This window comes from Homo sapiens, chromosome 8 (genome assembly GCF_000001405.40).
Source record: "Homo sapiens chromosome 8, GRCh38.p14 Primary Assembly".
Lineage (NCBI taxonomy): Eukaryota > Metazoa > Chordata > Mammalia > Primates > Hominidae > Homo > Homo sapiens.
In genome coordinates, this window is record NC_000008.11 from 65160265 (window position 1) to 65181081 (window position 20817).

The 20817-nt window shown below is 40.6% G+C and overlaps 1 long non-coding RNA gene across 1 annotated transcript, besides 2 other annotated features; it reads right to left on the reverse strand.

Annotated features, from left to right (window-relative positions):
• Positions 1–880: 880 nt before the first annotated feature.
• LINC00251 (long intergenic non-protein coding RNA 251) lies at positions 881–20076 on the reverse strand. The gene is made up of 4 exons (NR_038901.1): positions 19934–20076; positions 15409–15515; positions 12070–12248; positions 881–1505 (listed from the first exon to the last, which is right to left on the reverse strand). It is a non-coding gene; the product is annotated as a long intergenic non-protein coding RNA 251 (long non-coding RNA).
• Positions 10362–10887: an enhancer, noted in NCBI's record as "NANOG hESC enhancer chr8:66082861-66083386 (GRCh37/hg19 assembly coordinates)". NCBI's record gives its function as "activates a minimal SCP1, AML or CMV promoter by ChIP-STARR-seq in naive and primed H9 embryonic stem cells {active_cell/tissue: H9 hESC(naive and primed)}" and the evidence as "EXISTENCE:reporter gene assay evidence [ECO:0000049][PMID:30033119]".
• Positions 11600–12799: an enhancer, noted in NCBI's record as "CDK7 strongly-dependent group 2 enhancer chr8:66084099-66085298 (GRCh37/hg19 assembly coordinates)". NCBI's record gives its function as "activates an origin of replication core promoter dependent on BRD2, BRD4, P300/CBP, MED14 and CDK7 cofactors, with strong dependence on CDK7, by STARR-seq in HCT116 cells {active_cell/tissue: HCT116}" and the evidence as "EXISTENCE:reporter gene assay evidence [ECO:0000049][PMID:35650434]".
• Positions 20077–20817: the final 741 nt, after the last annotated feature.

The window sequence follows — 20817 nt, forward strand, 5'->3', positions numbered from 1 at the left end:
GTATTCTGCAATTTACAGGCAAAAATATTTAAAATAATGACAGGGTTGTTGCATGATCTAAGAAGAAAACACCCGGGAAATGTAAAAAAATGAGATTGACACAGCATGTTTAGCTCAGGCTGTTGTACAACAAGGCTCTCGAAGGGAGAGAGGAAAAGCCAAGCTATATTGTGAATATTCTCATTTTCAATCAGTTAGGTCAACACGAATCTAACACTATTTAAAACCTAGCCTTATCTCACAAATGGTCTTCAATATAATGATTAGTGTCCACAGAATCATTCAAGAAGGATTGATTTCATGTCTCTTAATCTTTTGAGAGTCCAAAAGTCACCTGAAGTCGCTACTAGTACTATTATTTATTATAAGAGGCCTTACGATTGGGTGTGCCCTATTATAGAGCTTTCTATCCTTGGTAGTGTGTTTTGGGATACTGGTGAGTCAGAACTGTTTTCTATTTAAAACTTGCTACCTATTTATATTTCTGGGAGTGAAGACATCAGGCCAACTTAGAGCTCATCTTTGCTCTAGAGGGAAAAATAAATCATTGCTCTAGGAAAATAGTATAAAAGAATCTTTGCTGTTGGTTTGACAAGAACCCGGAGCATGGCTGCTTTTGGTGATCAGAGCCACCCCTCCCACCTGCATTCATTTACATCTATCCATTTATTTGACTACGGAATCTTTTAGGAGGAAGAGAAACAGGAACAAGAGAAACAAGAACATTTAACTTTGATAAGCAATATCGCCATAGCATTTTTAAGGGCACAGACATCTATTAACATACAAATATAAATGTTTAAGGCTTTGTGGGCCACAAGGTACTCAACTCTGCTGTGAGAAAGCAGTCACAGACAATATGTAAAGCAATGAGCATGGCTACGTTCTGATAAAATTTTATTTACCAAAACAGGTAGTGGTCCGGATGTGGCCCTCTGGCCATAGATTAATCCTGGACTAGGGTGAATCCAACAGATGCTGCCTGCAGGAGAGACGAAAGGACTTTCTAGAGGGAAAGTCATTTGATGGAAAGGAGAGTCCAAAACTAGGCACACAACTCCAGGATCTGGGTTGTTGGAGAGGAGGACTAGCCCTAGGCCAGGTGGCTGAGGCTCAATCCCCTTCTGACAGTCACTCCAGAATGAGGGCAGGGCAGCAGGTGTGAGAACTGAGTCAGCTGCTCACCTGGGGATCCAATCCCAGAGGTTCAGGCCTCCTGGAATATAGAGAACCTCAGATAAGTTGTCTTCCCTTCTTCTCCAAAGCACATGTTGAGAAACTACCATTGATTCCACAGTCTTGACAGAGCAGTCTGCCAATCAATGGGGTTTCAGCTCCTAAACTTCTAGTGTTTACTGTTGATGGCAGCAACGGCAGCAGAGAAAGGGGCTCTTCTGCAGTGTGAACAAATGTTCCAGTTTCTTCCTCTGTAAGGTAATATATATCTTGGATGACTAAGCACTTTGGGCTTCAGTTCCTGAGAGCCTTGGGCTTTCCATGGAACACTACAGGGAAGGAAGAAATTGGATGAAAATGCAGTTATCATAATTTGAACATCGAAATCAATGTGACCTCATTCTATACCTTAACCTGATAGGGAAGGATATTGACCTCAAAATTAAACTAATGCCACAAACAGAGAAAAACATTTCCTTTGTTGCTTGGACAAATGTATGAAGCTGATGACATCCATGGGTTAAGATCCTCTCCTAAGTCTAGGGTTGTGATATAGTCATTAAAACTCACTACTCAGGTGTTGTTGGTGCAGATAACTCAATGGATTAAAAAGCTAATGTGGGTTAAAAGAAAGTTGGTCTATAGAGATCTCGTCTGGGTTCAGTTATAGAAACAAATTATTCCCGCTAGTCACTCTAGCCAATTAGGCAAATCAGGATTTTATTTCACATTAAAAATAGTTTGAGTCCTTTGGGTGACTCATATTTGTATATCCTTTAAAGTCTCCAAATTGCATACTTGCTCATTGCTTTATTTTATTCTCAGAACAATGTGCGAGGCAGGTGAAAAAAATGTTGATATTGCCCCTATTGTTTTTTCAGCTGTTGTAACTAAAACCAAAAACTTGCAGTGATTTGCTGTAGGTTCCAAAGGAGCAAGTGCCCATCCCTACATGGTCTTCACCCCGGTCTGCTTATTGCAAATCTCACGTTCTCCCCACCCTACCTGCCCCAGCACCTTAACTCCTGCAGCCTCTCAGCCACATCACTCCTGATCAGAGGGAGCCTGGGAATATGCTACAGTGTAGCAGTGAGTTGCCCTCTCCTTGCCAAGGGGAGCTTCCCAGTGTTGAAAGCACCTATTGACTCCCTATCTGCCTCAGGCTGGTTCTTACTCTGCTTGGAACAAGGCAGAAGGCATCATATAAGGGAAACTGTAGAACACAGAGCATACCCCGAGAGACACACAATTTCACGGGAAGAGTCCATCAGTCGTCCCGCAGGCAGACTCCAGAGGCAGCCTAGCTGGGGTGGAATCCAGCTCTGCCTCTCACTGCTATGAAAACCTGTGCAAGTTCCTTACCTTCTCTGTGCCTCAGTTCCCTCACTTGTAGGATAATGATTGTACCTACTTCAAGGAGATGCAGTAAAGATTAAATATCTTAACATTTATAAAGTGTTTGGAGCAATGCTTAGTACACTGTTAGTACTAGACAAACATAAGTGACACAAAATGGGTTTAAGGAAAGAAGTCTTGAGCAGGAATGAGAAAAATGAATGTAGAATGGCTACTAAGAGTATAATCAAGAGCAAGTTCTTTCATCTCTCAGGGCTCCTATTTTCTCTCCTATTCAGAGAAGATAATAACAACCTTCCATAGACTTAAATGAAAAAGTGATAGTGCTTTGTAAAATGCACCTGGTAGGGGAAATTAACTATCTTGGTTAAGGATCTTAACCCATGGATGTCATCAGCTTAATACATTTGTCCAAACAACAAAGAGGAGACATTTTTCCCTGTTTGAGGCATTAGTTTAATTTTGAGGCCAATATCCTCCCCTACCAGGTGAATTTTACAAAGTCAAATTAACTATCTTGGTAATGACCTGCTTTGCAAGAGAAATTTTATCACAATGCATTTTTAGAATATGAAGCATAAATAGTAGGGTCTTCCCTTGTCAGAATGTCATCTGTCCTATCTCTAGCTGTCAAAGTCCTATGCATGGAGAGTCTTCCAATAATTGCTACCATTGAGTCCTCACTCTGTGTTAGCCTCAGTAAGCTACACACATTATCTCATTTAATCCCAGTGGAAATGCAGTATGTATAAAAAACCTGTTTACAGATGAGGAATCTAAATCTCAAGGAAGTTAAATAACTTGTCCCAAGTCAGTAGCCAGCAGATAGTGAGGCTGATTCAGCCCAGATACCTGTGATGCCAGAGGCCATCTTTGGTCGACCACTCAAACATATTTCTTCCACCAAAAATAATCTCTCTTCTCTGAAATAATACAATGATTTGCTCATATTCTTTTCATAGGAATGCAATTCTACCTTTAATTATATTTTTTATGTACATATCATAGCTTATCTGTGGGTTTACAGGCTTCATAAAAACAGAAAATAGGCCTTGTGCATCTGTAAACAAGCCTCAGTTGCCAGCCAAATGCCTGGGAATGGTGAAGAAGCAGGACTACCAAGAAGAAAGTAAAGTTCCAGCTTGCCTGAGTAAAGTTGCCTTACCTGAGAATGAGGTTGAGAATCCCTACCTCACAGGATTGCTGTGAGGTTCAATTAAGAGAACAAGGTTTAAATCTGAAACCAGTACTCTGAAAACCAGTGTACTGCCAAAGTGGTGACAGTTCAGTTTTATTAAGTTGTATTGAAATCAGAGTGGTTAGTGGATAGATTGGCTCTTAACCAAGAAGAAGAGAGACAGTCAGTGAGGATATGAGCACAGCCGGGAGAAAAGCTTGAATTTCCTGCTGAATTTCACCAGAAAGTGGAATTTTTTAAAAAATGATTAGCAAATGAGTAATATGAATCAAGAGAGAAATGTGCAAAAGCAAGATACAGAAGTTCAGAGAGAGGCGGGTACAGGCTCAGTCCTACTTGAAACCTTAGCAGGGCAGCAGATTGGCTGCCTCCCACCTTATCTTCTTGTGCCCCCCCTGTGCTCTGCGTGCCCAAGCTACTGTCAGGGTTTTTGGGGAACCACTTGTGGTGGTTTGTGCAGAAGGGCTTATGAACTATAAAATGCCACACAGTTGTAAGGTTTTGGGGCTTAGAACGACATCCCAAAATATGGCTCTTCAGTCTGCTGAGTACTCTACAAGGGGATCAGCAGGGCCTCAGAAGCAAGAAATTCTCTCTGACCTTCTCTTGCCCTCCTTTCTCCTTCTCCCATTTTCCCCCCAAAGCAGATCATACAAACTAGAACTTCTCTCCCCCAAAGCAAACTGTAAAACCTACAGAGGTCACTCTAACCTAGCTCCCATGGAAGCAGGCCATAAGACCCTCATTCCAAAAGGGTCTTGCCCCATACCTTAGGGTAAGGGGTGGAAGGGTGGAGGAATGCCACACAGGAAGGCCAAGAAGAATCGGAACACACAGGCCTCGCTAAGTTCCCTCCAATGTGTTACCATCAGGTAATACCCTTTTTTGTCCAATCACATTTCTACATGGTTGTCCATCCTTCATGAAACCTAAGCATAAAAATACAGTTTTTTTCTAGGCCTTGGGTCTTCATGTCTAAAGTCTCTTGTGTCACATAAAACTTTGATTAAACAAATTTGTTATGCTTTTCCCTTTTTAGTCTGTCTTTTTTTGTTACAGAGATAGCAGCCATGGACCTTGAAATGGACGAGGAAAGGTATCCTGCCTTTTCACCCCTGTGGGTGTCTGTGTCGTCCTCATTCTGGAGAGGCACAATGGCATCTTCGCTTGGAGGCGCGGCTTTGGTCAGCCCCCCTAGCCTGGTCTTCCAGAAAACCAGGGTCACTCACTAGAGCCGGCACTCACAATCACGGATTCAGAAAGCTCTCCCCGCAGCATGTTGTTCTAGAAATGACTCCAGGTGACTTTTCTGAGAGACTGAATGTATTCATCAATTCTTAATAAAGTTTTCACCAGGCTTACCAAGGGAGCCTTAAATGGGGAGAACAGCTTGTTTCCTTGACAGCAGAAAATTGACAGGTTTTTTTTTATTTTAATTCTTTGTTGTCTGTCAAGAATTCCATAGAAATAATAGATGCCTGAAAACACAAGGAAAAGCGCATTTTTTCCCCACTTCAGAGGTGTGCCTCCAAGGAGACTGACATGAGGGAGAAGGAGGGTTTCTGAAATGTAGATGGTGGGTAATAAAGTCCCTCAGAGTGAGTTGGGAACAAGGTTAGAACTCACAAACTGCCTGCTTCAAGAGTCAAGGACATCTTTGCAGCCTTGGGACCAGCAGGCTGCTTGGGAAGCAGGAAGGCAACATTTCAACAAACAAAAACAAACAATAAACAAACAAATACTGTAAAAAGGGACAACTCCCTTTGCATAGCCAACTCAGGCCCAGGCAGAGCTACCAAAGACCAGGCCTGGTTTCTACCGGTCTTGGGATATAGAGCAGCCTCTGAAAGCAGTGCCCCAGCGTGCCCGTCCGTCCAGAGCTGGGGCAGAGGGGCTTCCTCCTGGCTGGCAACTTCTAAAGGTCTGCAGTGCCAGGCACCGCCCCCCCCAACCGGGTCGTGAACCCCTGCTATCTCCTGGCATACCTGCCCCATCGAATATTAATGAGCCATTGTTTCAAAAAAAGCCTTGCCAAAGGTGGCTGGGACAGACTTGCCTACTCTGCAGAGAGAAGGAAAAGAAAGGATGGGGGCGTTGCGGGGGAAGACACTAGGGGAGGAGGCGAACATGAGGCTTTCAAGTTCTAAAGCTTATTTTGCATGAGAAAATACAGGAGGCTTGAGGATTGCTGGTAGGCATCCCTCATCCTCTATCTTCCCTGCAAAAAATCCAGATTAAAGCCGTTGGTCTCTGGGACACCTTAAAAAAAATCTTCCTTCTGTGACCTTATGTACAAGGGTAAAGACCAGCTTTCTACATCCAACTCGCGAGTGCTGAAGGGAGGACGAGCCGTGGGGCGCCCAGCCGGAGCCTCTGTCCTCTGCCTGTTCCCGATTCCATGGCCCGAGGCAATGGTTTGCATTTTTAGGACAACAGCCTGCTATCTGCAAGCAGGAGACCTCTCGTCAGGCTTCATTACTGCACACAAAATGACAGGAGAGAGTCTGCGGCCCACAACTACGCTTATGGTGTGCAGCAAAGCCACTGCATCGTCCTGCAACACCAGTCCCCTCCTTCCCACTGACCCACACACCGAACTGCCGCCCCAAACCTGAGCTTTGCTTATGTATGTGCCCTACCTGGCACACGTGGCTTCTGCTGGAAACCGGCCTTTTCCACCTTCCTTGCTGTTTGGCTTATGAATTTCCGGGGAGACCAAGAAAAGAACTGTATTTGCCAACTAATGAAGTTCAGATTCACCCTTTCTTTTCCTTCCCCATAAGCTCCCCAAGACTGAGTCTACAGTGCACCATCTCCTCATCTAGACATGGTGATTTACATCATACTGGGAGGACAGATAGCTGGGAATACAGACCCCATGCCATACAAGATAATTTAAACCTTTTAATCACCTCCCTAATTGCAATAGTCTTTCGCTTCTGGCCTAAATTATAGCTACTCTCCTAAAAAGAAATTCCACAGCCAACAGCTTCAGACATCATCATCATCAAATCCTATCTATTATTAACTGTTGTCACACAATGCACCTTTACAAACGAGGGTGAATCTGCTTGCATTAGCCAGAATAACAGGGGTTGTGCCTGTGTTTGCTCAACGCTGGTTGAGCAAACCAACCATTCTGATTCAATCTTTCAGAATAAGGATATGTAAGTACAAGATTACTGAACAAATGTATGTAAGAAATTACTGGGCCGGGCACGGTGGCTTATGCCTGTAATGCCAGCACTTTGGAAGGCCGATGAGGGTGGATCACCTGAGGTCAGGAGTTCGAGACCAGCCTGCCCAACATGGTGAAACCCTGTCTCTACTAAAAAAAATACAAAAATTAGCTGAGCATGGTAGCCCACACCTGTAATCTCAGCTACTCAGGAGGCTGAGGCAGGAGAATTGCTTGAACCCATCAGGCAGAGGTTGCAGTGAGCCGAGATCACACCACTGCACTCCAGCCTGGGTGGCAAAGTGAGATTCTGTCTCAAAATAAAAAATAAAGAAATTATTTGGGTTGAAAACATATAAGTGTAGTCACCTGGATAGATTCAATTTATGAAGTTCCAGTAAGTGTTCTAAAGCCTCTAGGGCTCAAAATTATGGAGAACTATTAGATGAATCCAATATCTGTACCTTTAAAGAGAGTAATCAGGAGACATGTAATGATGGAAACTAAAAGCAAACTTCAGACCATGAGCTGACAATAAGGTGTGGGAAGAGAGATCAACGTGTAGTATAGCAGCTCCTTCTTAACCTCTTACATTGGTCAGGATTTGGGCTCAGCTGCCGTAACAGAGGCCCCGTGTATGGAGGCTTACACGGCCTAGGAGTTTATTTTTCTCTCTAGCAGTTTTGGAGTGAGCAGGCCAAACTGACAGAGCACTTCTGCTCCACTAAGTTATTCAGGGATCTAAGTTCCTTTTACTGAGCAAGCCTTTATGGCAATAGTTCTCAACTTGAATGCGGAGGTTGGCAAACTTTCTGTAAAAGGCCATAAGGTGAAATTTTAGTCTTTACCAGCCACATAAGTCTCAATTACATATTCTTCTTTGGCTTTGTTACTTTTTGTTGCAACTGTTCGCAAATGTAAAACCCATTCTTAGCTCATTGTTGTACAAAATCGAGCCACCCAGTGGTTTTGGTCCATTGGCTGCAGTTTGCCAGTCTCTGCTTTCGGGCATCATAATCACCTGGAGGGCTTTCTGAGCCCACCTGGAGTTTCTGATTCTATAAGTCTTGGATGGGACCGATGAATTTGCATTTCTAACAGGTTCTCTTGTGACGTTGATGTTGATGGTTTGGACATCACACTTTGAGAACCACAGCCCTGTAGTGTGGCCTTTGCCTTCCTAGTCAAAGCTGAATCTCCTGCACATGCATGTTCCAGCACAAAAGAAAAGGAAAAAAGAATCAAAAGATAGTCTTTTTAAGGACCTAACGAAGAAATTGCACACATAACTTTCATCACATCCCATCAGCCTGATCTCAGTCATATGGCCATAATTGGTTACAAAGGAGGTTGGAAAGTATAGACTGTAAATGCATGTTTATGAGCCCTGCTACAACTGAAGCAGTTTATTATTAAAGAGGAAGAGATGGAGAATGCATTTTATGGAACAGTTAGCAGATTCCACCACACAAGGAAAGAAGGAGACAAGTGAAAGGTCTCCTACACTTGGTCAGATTAACCTCACAGGGACCACCCTGGGATTTATTACAGTACCTCTCTGCTATATTCACAGATGAAAAGTAAGCTCATGGCATACCTGAGGGGCCTGAGCAAGTATATATCACTGACAGCTACCACAAGGAATAACTTAAGCTCCCATTTCTTAAATGAATATTTGTTTTATCTGCCTCTCCTGATGCTAAAAATTCTACAAATCACAATTCATTGCTTCAGGTTCTTCAGGCTTCTTAATCTTAATGAGTTCCTAGAAACTTACCAATCATGTACAGTAAAAATAATAACAAAAATAAATCTTTGCTTTATATCATATAATAAATAAATATCAGCTCCTACAGGTAGTCTATAAGTTACTTGCCATGTGGACCTTCCAACATAGGCAACCCAAACATGGCAGCTTGCTTGTATACAGCCAGCAAAAGAAGAAGAAACATACTCCAGTAAGATGGGTATTATAACCTTATATAACACGATCATGTAATCACATACATTCTGTCTCTTTTGCCTCATTCATTCTATTGGCTAGACATAAGCTAAAGGTCTAGTAACACTTCAGTGGAGGGCATAACACGAGGGCATGAACACTGGGATGTGTTCCAGTGGAGGCCACCTGAAGAATCTGTCTACCACAATATATGTTTAACACTTTTGATTAAATACAACCAAGCTACAAATATATCTCTATTAGCACAGAATTTGTGGGCCCTTTTCCATATGAAATCTTGAAGAACTTGTGCATCACCATTTAATCTGCTAACTTAATAGGAAGACAATCATACATGTTAATTTGAATTTATTGACATATATATATTCTTATTTATGCAAATTTATCTTTATTGTTTATTTCAATAGGTTTTTGGAGGATAGGTGGTGTTTGGTTACATGGATAAGTTCTTTAGCGGTAATTTCTTGAGACTTTACAATGTGCCAAGCACATATTAAGAATTTGGAGCTCATTTGTTCATTTAATCATGGGTTAAAGGGGGGTTAGATTCACCCCCTATGTTTAGAGAGCAGCCTATACTCGTAGGCATTCTACTATAGCACCTCCACTTTTATCCCTTGCTGTCAGGCAGATAACAAGAGAGATACATCATGAGCAAGGAGCAAGGTGATCACAGGTTCCTGGTCTCAAATCCATCAACTGGTTTTACTATTGCATGGCAACTCTCAAAACCTTGCAGTTTATGTTCCAAGAAGCCACCCTTGGGCTTCCCAGAGAGACTTTCTTTATTTGTTGTGGAGTCTACCACAAAAATAGAAGAGGCACTTACCGCACACTTTCTACTTGAATGACTGAAAACAACAGTTGCTCTTACAGATGCAGGGAAAGAGCAAAGATATTTCAGTAGGCCTGAGGACAAGCTAAAAATTACCAGCTCCTCATAGTAATTACTCATTCCCCTGGAGAACAATTGAAGGTTAGCTTTTTCCAAAATCTAACTCACTTTGCAAATCCAACTTAATCTTGATGTAGTGGCCTTGAGCGAGTTGTATAATATCTTGGACCTTTGTTGTCTTCTCTGTAAAGTGGTCTTGTTACCTTCTCTAAGTGGAAGCCACTCAGTGTGATCTCTTGAGATTCTTATCAAGCTGAGGTTATGTGATTCTGAAACAGGTTCCCTCCTCCAGGTGTTTTGTTAGGCAAAACTTTTAAAAAAGAAGTCCAAAGGACATATCTATAATACTGAATCATGAATGAGTAAAGCTTTCAGAAAGAGATGAACATAGAAACCTTGAGCTTACAAAAAGTCTCTCTGAGGATTTTCTTTTAATTAACTGTACACACTTCTTGCAGAGTACCCTCAACTGACCTTCCAGTAGAGTTCCATAGTCCTGTGACATAAGAGAAGTGCCCTGCTTCTTCATGTAAAGAGAACCACAAACACCTGTTCTTTGGTAGATTCACCACAGAGAATCACTTCTTGAAGGTCAATTATATTGCTAAGTCAGTCTAAAGATTTTCCGCCTGGGAAAGTACAGCAATGGCATCTGTTCATTCTTCAGCGTAGATCAACCCTTTACCCATGATTTTTCAATATTTAAACAAACAGCTCAAACAAAGCTGTGCTTCAGTGTTAACCTTGTGAACTTAAAAGCCTGCACCTGTACAATTAGTAATTAACATGTTCAGTAACAAAGCTGGAAGGTAACAAGTGACATTCACACCTCTTAATTGGTGCGATTAGCAGTCCTTTTGTTGTCAACCATTAGCAGCTCTCTCCAAGTGTGAAATGCCACAGGTAGAGGGACATTGGCAATGGGTGGGGTAAAGGAGGGAAGGTGAGAGTGAAAAAAGTTTATAAAGCAGGTTAGACTTATCTAGAGGAAAGAAAACAGATGGTTACTTCAGAAAACTGGCTAAAACTGTCAAAGGAGTAGAAGCATCAGTGATTGTATCTCTTTTTATTCTTTGCTGCTGATGCGAATGAGTCTTGAAGTTTTAAAAACTCTAGTACCCCTCATCGCATTGCAATATGGGGAGACCCCACTTTCAGCAAAATTAATTATGAATGTGAAAATCTATATCAATGTTTTTAAAAATGAAGGTATGTCTGTGGAGTTTTGCTTTCTTGACAATATACCATAAGGATTACTATGATATTCTAGATGACAAATATACTTGGGCTTTAAAAACAGATTCCAATTATATAGGAATTTTCAGGAATATATGAAGCAAGATGCACTTCTTGTTTTTTCTTGTTTATTTCTTGTTTAATCCTCTTCTTTAATCCTCTTTTCTCTTTTTCAAAAAAGCAGTAGCAGGCTCCCCTCCATATGGATGAGAAAATTTCTTTTGTATCCAGCGTTGCAACCTCTCATCAATCAATAACAAACCTCCCAGAAGGCATGACCCTGTGTTAGCATCCTTTCATTTTTTCAGATTTTAGCTTCCACACTTGGCTTTTCTATATTTTCCTGATATATTTGTCTTCTCTTCTTAAAGATATGGCTTCATGTTGACAATGCAGAGATATTGCTATTCCTGTACAAACTAAAGGTGTCAATATTTCTTTATAATGGGAAAGGTCATTGAGTTATCATTCTAGGACAAAAATTAGATAGAACATATTTGTGAGCTCCATGATGGCAAGAATTATGTCTCCTCCATCAATATATTACCAACTTCTAGCCCAAATATATACTCAATAAATAGTTATTACATATGAAATGTGAACGCTAATGTCAATGAGATTTTCCTCCCCAAGTTTCTGTTAACATTACTTTGGTCTTTACACAATTCTCCTGGGGTATTTGCAATGCTATTTGAGTTTTCTGTATTGCTGAGATTATTATTTTCCTTTTGGAAGAGACTGTCTTTATGTTAATATATTATTTCCTTTGACATGTTTTCCACTTTTACTTGATGGATTGGCTCCCTATCACCCGGCCTTTTCATTCACTGAATTCAGCTTTATACTAATGACTTCACAGTTTTACAGATCATTTTGAATCCTTCAACCCCATCTTACCTCTTGCTTATCTTTCATCCACATTTCCTATATTACATTCTCATTCTAAACTACTTTTCTATTATCTATGTATGCCAGACCTTAGGAGCTTAACACCTATTTTATTTTACCCTTCATTTTTTGTAGCTTAGGAATTTGAGAAGGGATCATCTTGATCCACATGGCCTCACCTGAAATGGGTGGGATGAAGGATCCATTTCTAAGATGGCTTCCTCATGCATGTGGTCTCTTGCTCGACACAATGAATCTCTTCCTCCAGGGCCTCTGCACATGGCTTGGGCTTCCCATAGCATGGTGTTTGCAGGACCGTTGCATTTCCTACAGAGCATCTGGTTTCTCCCAGGTGAGCCTTCCAAAAGCAAGCATTACAAGAGACCCAAGTGGAAGCTGCAAAGCTTCATACTCATTGCTTAAGCAAATCCCTAAGGCCATCTCGGATTCAAGAGGGAGGGGGAGGACTAGACTCCACGTCTCCATTGGAAAATGGTGGGCCCCATATGAGGAGGGAAGGACTCAGTGGCAATTATCTTGATGACAAACTGCCATACCTACCATTTTCATTTTAATATTTTCTTTTTCTTCCCTACTTAAAATTTTTATAGTTGCCTACCTAATATATAGGTTGTTAATGCATACAAGTTTGTGCCAAGACTATGTTCAAGCATGGTAAGTGTCCCTACTAGGTCATCTCCATGTGAAACTATTTAAAGAGCACCAGGAGGCCCTGATATTCCAAAGTCATCTCCCTTAACTAGGCTCTCCATTCACTCATTTGAGTCACTAAAAGATTTCTGGGGGAAATAAGCTCTCATGTGACTTGGGAGAGAGGCATGACCAATCAACCATGAGTACTTCTCAATCCAGAACTGTACATTGGTTTATTAAGATAAGTTTTTGTTTTCCCCTGTGGGTAAATAGAGCATGAAGTGGGAAAAATGGTGCTGGAGCAGTGAGTGCCCCTTGGAGTGGGCAGAGCTGGGTGTGACACTGAACCCCTGGGATGGTGGCAGGGTGCCATGTGCATCAGTCTGGAAGGAGAAGAGATCTGGAGAGGGTCATAGTTGGGGGTCAGTATAGGTGAAGGTGTGTGGGTGATACAATAATATAAAATATTTAGCTGCCTGATGCAAAGAATGTATATCACCTATTATCTCTATTTTCTCCAAAGAACACAAATAATTTCAGAGCTTCCCCTCTGTATATATAAAGAGAGAAGCTATCTTGGAGTTAAACTCCCACACCTACCTTTCTAATTTTATTTTTTTTGCAATATATACATGATATATGTGTATGCATATATGCATATGTGTATGTGCATATATATATATATATATATACACACACATACATACACACACACACACACACACATTACATAAGAAACTAGAGTAGTCAGACGATTCCATTCGCATACTTCTAGTTGATTTATCTCCTAGGCAGTTTGTACCCGAGCTGCTGAGAATTGGTTTTAAATTGTGAAGCTGGTCACTGACCAGTCATTTAGATTACTACAGCAATTAATTTTGACCCCACTATCATTACCATACTTTGTCTAGTTCCTCCTCCTAGCAAAGACTTCTAGTTTAGTTATCTTTTGATAGACATTCAGCTCTTCTTTGTTAGTTATAGACCCTCCCATTATTAGCTAAAGTAATGCCACCTAGAATAATGAGTCTATTTTTTAGCCTCCCTTGCTGCCATGTAAATATATTCCTTCTACTTGTATGCAAGCAGAAATGTCACATATGAATTCCAAGAAGCCCTTAAAGAGGTGCAGTTGTCTGCATTCTTTCCTCTTTTCCCTGGTATTTGAGGAAATGATGTCTTGGGCTCTCCCCGCCATCTTAAATCATGAGATGGAAGTCACGGCGTGGACAGCAGAGCTATAAGGTAGAAGGAGCCTCAGTTCCTGATGGCGAGGACTTTGTGAACCTGCTTTACCAACTCCCAGCTCTGTGCTACAGATTATATTTCTTTACCCAGGAGATAAACTTCTATTTTTATAGACATTGTTATTTAGATTTTTTATCATTTTTAGTGAAATCTAATTCTGACACACCTCTCTGCTGGTGAGGTTGGAGAATTTAGTCAGGTTAAAACAACCAACTTGGTTTAAACCACCCTTCCAACATGCACAGTATATAAACTTGCAAAGGCTAATTAAATTTCACTAGGGCAGATCTTTATAAAAAGAATAAGTAACATATGTATATATCACATCTGAATTTAAATACAGTATTTAACTGTCCTAGATTTTGCAATGTATTCATAGCTGCGAGGGGGGATAAGAAACTACTTCATAATCCGTTGAATCCTTGTAAATTCTGTTTAAATGTGTTTTTAAAATGTGATTTTTTTGTGTGCTACCATTGGTGATGATGGGGAGTTCTGTATTGTAAAATATTCCTCATTGCTCTTGAGAATGAGCTGAGGAGACACAGTCAGTGCCGTGGCAGCCCCTCCTGGGTTAGAGCGTGGTGCTTTGAGAAAGGATACTCAGTTATAAAAGCCAATGGATTCTTTTTCTGAAATGGCTGCCAAACACCCCTGCTTTTGTTTAGTGTTCATTATATCTCAAAGTTTCCTTTCTCTTTTCCTTCCACCAAGCCTACCCAGCCCAGTCTGCATCCTTCCAGTACCTGTCAGAGCTAACTCTTCAAAAACAGCATCCTATCATGCCCTGTCACTAGGTAGAAACTTCGGTGGATTTCTTCTTGCTTCTAGTTTGGCATAAAATGGCCTTCACTTTTTCTTCCATGTACTTTCCCAGTCCTTTATCTCACTTGCTTTCTGTTTATACATGATGAAATTCCCACCTTTTCCCAAACATGCTGTGCCTTTTACAACTCGGCATTTCGAACAGGCTCTGCTCTCTGCTTGAAATGCTTCCCTGACCCTGAACTTCCTCTTCAGAACTTTCAGGATGTATCTCATGGGGCAGTAGCACTCAAAAGCTTTTGCCATTACTACAGTTGCAGTTAATCACTTCCTCCTTTGTGTGGATTCTGCTTTTAGTCGGTCACAGCACTTACTGGGTGATATTATAATTGTTCTGTTTTCAAGTCTGATTCGTCCTAATATGTGAGACATTGCAGCCCACCCTGGTATGCTGTTCAATGTCCATAACCAACTGGGAACTCCCTGTGTCTTATGGAATGGAGAGCTAGATCCATGACTGAGACAAGACTATCTTGACAAAAACTAATTTGTATCTAAATTTAGTCCTTAGAGTTGTATGAAAAACAGTAGGACCTAGATACTTCCAGTTCTCTGGAGAAGATATTCATGGGCGTATACAAGAATCTGCATAGCTATCCTATCTAGCCATCATAGCTTTCTTCCCACCTTGAAGAGAAATACATTTCTTAGAACTGGATTTTCTTAGAATCAGAATTATGGAATCATAGAATTGTAGAGCTAAAAGGGACCTGAAAGATAATATTGACTACAGCTTCATAATGAGAAAACTAATCCCAGAAAAGCTAAAAGATTTGTCAAAGGACACCCACCTAGTTAGTGTCAGTCAGATCTGAAATCCTGGTCTCCTGACTCCAGTGTTCTTCAAATATTTGAGCCCTAAGTCCTTGGTTAAGGGGCATCCAATAGCTGTGAAGCACTGAAATTTTAATATTAAGTTAAATCAGAGCTGAACCACACATACACCTAAGGGTTTCAGCGGCAAGTTAAACAGATGAGAGAAGATAAGTCAGATTGTTTGATGAAAATGTTAAAATCAGAGACCTTGAGAGTTTAAAAGTCCCTTATATAGCATCCAGTCCAAGCACCTAGTTTTCATAAATAAAAATTACTAACAAGTGAAATAATTTTCTCCATCTGAGTCATAAAGCCAAAGACAGAGACAAAAGTAAAACCTTGACTACAGCTGTGAAATGGACTCCACAGGACTCCTGTGGATAAAGTAGGATCCTAGAGAGAGCAGTAACTCTTGTTTGAAGCATATGAAGCCATAGTTGGTCAAATAATTAAAAAATCAGCTCAGTAGAAAGTGATTTTTTAAAGGATGTATACATACTACAATTTTTTCATTTTAATCTTAAACACATAAATGTACAGTTATTTTCCACTTGGATAATCCAGGATTTTCTCCCCATCTCAGTATCTTTTGCTTAATCACATCTGCAAGGTCATTTTTGCCATGCAGGTAATATGTTTATAGGATAAGGTCATAAACATCTTTGGGGCCAGGGGCAATGGCTCATGACTGTAAGCCCAGCACTTTGGGAGACCAAGGCAGTTGGATCATTTGAGGTCAGGAGTTCAAGACCAGCCTGGCCAACATGGTGAAACCCTGTCTCTACTAAAAATACAGAAAATTAGCTCGGCATGGTGGCAAGAGCCTGTAATCCCAGTTACTCAGGAGGCTGAGGTACAAGAATTGCTTGAACCCAGGAGGTAGAGGTTGCAGTGAGCCAAGATTGTGTCACTGTACTTTAGCCTGGGCAACAGCATGACTTTGTCTCAAAAAAAAAAAAAAAATTGGGGCATGGAAGTGGAGGGGAGCATTACTCTGCCTGCCATGCATGGCTCTGCTGATGCAAGATGAGGAAACACACACAAATTGTATTGTTTATGATTCATAGTTTGTGCCTTTAAAGTGAAATAACGTTTTGTAGACATTTGGAAAGCAACATGTGTGAATTCTTCCTAATTTGTTTCCCAATTCTTTTTATAATGTCTGCCTTGCAACCAATTTGAAATTAATTTTTTATGTGGTTCACCTTTTCTGATTCTTCTAAAATATTGGTTTTAGGTTTTATAGCTACAATTCTCTTTCTTTTTGTACTCCAATGTTACTGGCTTACATAACATTTATTTAAATTACACCATTACAATAACAAGGACTTTAAGCAACTTTGAGGAGAAACATGACTTTGCAGAAATCGCTCCATTGTTGGACACAAAGGTGACCAGGTTGTTGACAAGTGGCCTGAGGGTCCTCATTGTGCCGTGCAATAAATGAGAAGTTGCCATATCTGGTAGAGTGTGTTAGTAAAGTTGGTTTAGGGGAGCTTCTGCTGTTTAAAGTGCCCTGTGTACTCGAAGGCACTATACAGATATGAGACATCGTTATTTTTGTTTGTATAATAGTTCAGGGCCTGGGGCTAGGACATGCAAACAGACATTCATGATGGTATAGGGGAGATGCATAGCAGAAAACAAGCAGCCTATAAACTAGCCTGATGACAAGGGAAAGTCAGAAAAATTTGAAAAAATGTTCTGCTGAAGCCTAGATAAAATCTAAAAGCATATTAAGTTGGTTAATAGTATAAGTTTCAATCAAAAAAGTTTTCAATTATAGTCAAGGACTTGCTTCCTTTATTAATCTGCTTTTAAGCCCATCCAATGCCTCTCTAAAAATTTAGGTTTAGTTGTCTAATGAAAAAGCTATTTTTTAAAATATTTAATTGTCAGGAAAAAGTATATTGATCCCTTCTTTCAGATGACCTCTCTTTAGGAAACTTGGCTGCTTGGGTCATTAAACTGTAAATGTATCCTTGTGAAAGCTTTTTTTTTTTTTTTTTTTGAGACAGAGTCTCGCTCTGTTGCCAAGTCGGAGTGCAGTGGTGCAATCTTGGCTCACTGCATCCTCCACCTCCTGGGTTCAAGCAATTGTCCTTCTCAGCCTCCCAAGTAGCTGGGATTACAGGCGTGTACCACCACACCCAGCTAATTTTTGTATTTTTAGTAGAGATGGGGTTTCACCATGTTGGCCAGGATGGTCTCGATTTCTTGACCTCGTGATCTGCCCGCCTTGGCCTCCCAAAGTGCTGGGATTACAGGCACGAGCCACTGTGCCTGGCCGTGAAAGCATATTTTTACTCAGGCTGAGTAGTGTAGGGTAAAGGACAGTTGCTAATATTCTGAGATTGCAAACACATGTGTAAAATGTGGCAGAACATGCAACACAAGAAAAGTGCTAAATCTTGAATTGCAGGGCCTTCCCATATGTGTTATTTTGCCCTGAATAATAATAATAACTATTGTTATTATCATTATTAAGACAGGGGTCTTGCTCTGTTGCTCAGGCTGGAGTGCAATGGCACAATTATAGCTCACTGTGACCTCTAACTCCTGGGCTCAAACGATCCTTCCACCTCAGCCTCCCGAGTAGCTGGGAGTACAGGCATGCACCACGCCCAGTTAATTTTTTAAATTTTTTGTAGCAATCGAGCCTTGCTGTGTTGCCTAGGCTAGTATCGAACTACTTTGCCCTTGAATTCTATTGTCTTTTACTAGTTAGTCAGTAACTGTCTCTGTATATTAGCTTGTTGAAGGAGAGTAAGAGAGGTTAAATGTTCAGTATCAAATTCTGGACATAGAGTGTACTTGTGGCCAAAGGCATGGATTTCCTTATCCCTGCCCAAAGTGGAAGCAAGTGAATACCCTCTCTATTAGTTCCCTTGGGCTGCCATAGCAAAGTACCATATACTGGGTGGCTTAAACAACAGAAACTTATGTTCTAGAAGCTAGAAGCCCAAGATTAAGCTGTCAGCAGAGCCATGCTCCCTCTGAATGCAAGGAAGAAATCTGTTCCAGGCCTATCTCTTAACTTCTGGTCATCCCTTAATTAAGGCAGCCAACTCCAAACTTCTTATGATGTTCTCCCTTTGTGTGTGTATGTAGGTCCACATTTCCCCCTTTTTATAAGGGCAACAGTCAAATTGGATTAAGGGCTTACACTGCTCCTGTATGACCTCATCGGGTTTTGTTTTGTTTTGTTTTGAGACAGAGTTTTGCACTTGTTGCCCAGACTGGAGTGCAATGGCATGATCTCTGCTCACTGCAACATCCGCCTCCCAGGTTCAAGCAATTCTCCTGCCTCAGCCTCCCGAGTAGCTGGGATTACAGGTACCCACCACCACACCTGGCTAATTTTTGTATTTTTAGTAGAGGCAAGGTTTCACCATGTTGGCCAGCCTGGTCTCGAACTCCTGACCTCAGGTGATCCTCCTGTCTCGGCCTCCCAAAGTGTTCATCTTAGTTATATCTGCAATGACCCTGTTTCCAAGTAAGCTCATATTCTGAGATACTGGGGGTTAGAATTTCAGTGTCTAAAATTTTGGTGGACACAGTTCAACCCATTCAACCCATTACATTCTCTCTGGAGAAAGGCGTAAACATTCTATGCCTCATACTAATCCTCCAAATAATTTTGAACTATAATAACCAGTATATAGTCAAATTTAACCAGGTACTTAATAATAATAATAGTCATAAAAATCATGGGGAGTGACAGAAGATGTAACAAGCAAAGAAAATTAATAAAAATTGGTGAAGTTTGTTATTAGCTCTGACTAGAAGCAGCATCACCAGTAAAAATAAACTGTCATCTGTAACTGTGAACATGGAGAGATGGGAAGCAGAGGAAAGATTTACAAAAAAAAAAAAAAAAAAAAAAAAAAAAAGAAAGACAAAAGCAGAGAGGAATACAGAAGTATAAAGAGCACATGCAGTCCCCTGTAGGTAAGCATGTTTATCAGGTAAGAAGAAATGTGTTCAAAAAGTCAGACTTCCAAAGAATGGCTTTTTATCATACCTCAAACATCTGAGCACCCTTTAGCTTACCTTTGGTGCTAGGAATGAACCAAATCGTATCCTATTGTGGTGCTAGTTTAGAGAGAAAGTTGGGCATGGAAAACAAAGTTCATTTGTCCAGTAGGATGTCTGTTTTATTGTGAGCATTTAAATAAAGTACAAGTACCTACTTTCATTCAATGCTACCTGTGTCAAGAAAAAAAACTGGACTAAAATGTTGAATACATTTGCCCCATGTATGCAATAAATACTAAACAAGAAGTAAAGTGCCTCTAAAAGTTCCAAAGATTCCACAATTCTTCTTACACATCAAGTTGCCTTTTTCTTGCTTGAGAATCATTAAAACTTATCTTTCCACCGATTATTCAGTAATTTTATGGATAGTTTAATTGACCAAAGCTTTTAATTTCCCATTTCAATAGCAATATTTCCGTGATGTATGGTATACAGTTCCATGTATTAGCAAATGGAACTTACTGAACTTAAGATCAGCTGTGTTAGATAGGCAGATGGTTTGGGACATCAAGTTGACTAGTAAACATCCATGGTGAATCTTAGAGTGAATTCTGTTCATTTATCTTTTTCTTTGTAGAATATGCTGTTGCAGAGCCTCCCATATCCTATAATTACAAAAGTATTATTAAATTAAAGCTGTGAAAATATTGTTTATTGTTTTGCCTTCAGTGAAACTGTCATCAGCTCTAACCTATTTTTTTTAACTTTTATTTTAAATTCAGGGATACATGTGCAGGCTTATTACATAGGTAAACTTGTGTCTCATGTTACTTGTTATACAGGTAAACTTGAGGGTGTGCTGTACAGATGATTTTGTCACCCAGATATTAAGCCTAGCATCCATTAGTTATTTTTCCTGCTCCTCTTCCCCTTCCCACCCTCCACCCTCCAACAGGCCCCAGTGTTTGAGGAATGCATGTTGTTTCCCTCTATCTGTCCATGTGTTCTCATCATTTAGCTCCCATGTAGAAGTGAGAACATATGGTATTTGGTTTTCTGTTCCTGTGAGCTCTAACCTATTTTCTAATTCAATAGCTTTATATTCATAAGGAAATATTATCATCTTCTCAAACTTTATAATATTGCTACTTAAGATCATGAATATAAATAAAGTAATGTGGCCGGGCACAGTGGCTCATGCCTGTAATCACAGCACTTTGGGAGGCTGAGGTGGGCAGATCACTTGAGTCCAGGAGTTCAAGACCAGCCTGGCCAACGTGGTGAAACCCTGTCTCTGCTAAAAATACAAACATTAGCTAGGCATGGTGGCGCACGCCTGTAATCCCAGCTACTCAGGTAGCTGAGGCACAAGAATTGCTTGAGCCTAGGAGGCAGAGATTGCAGTG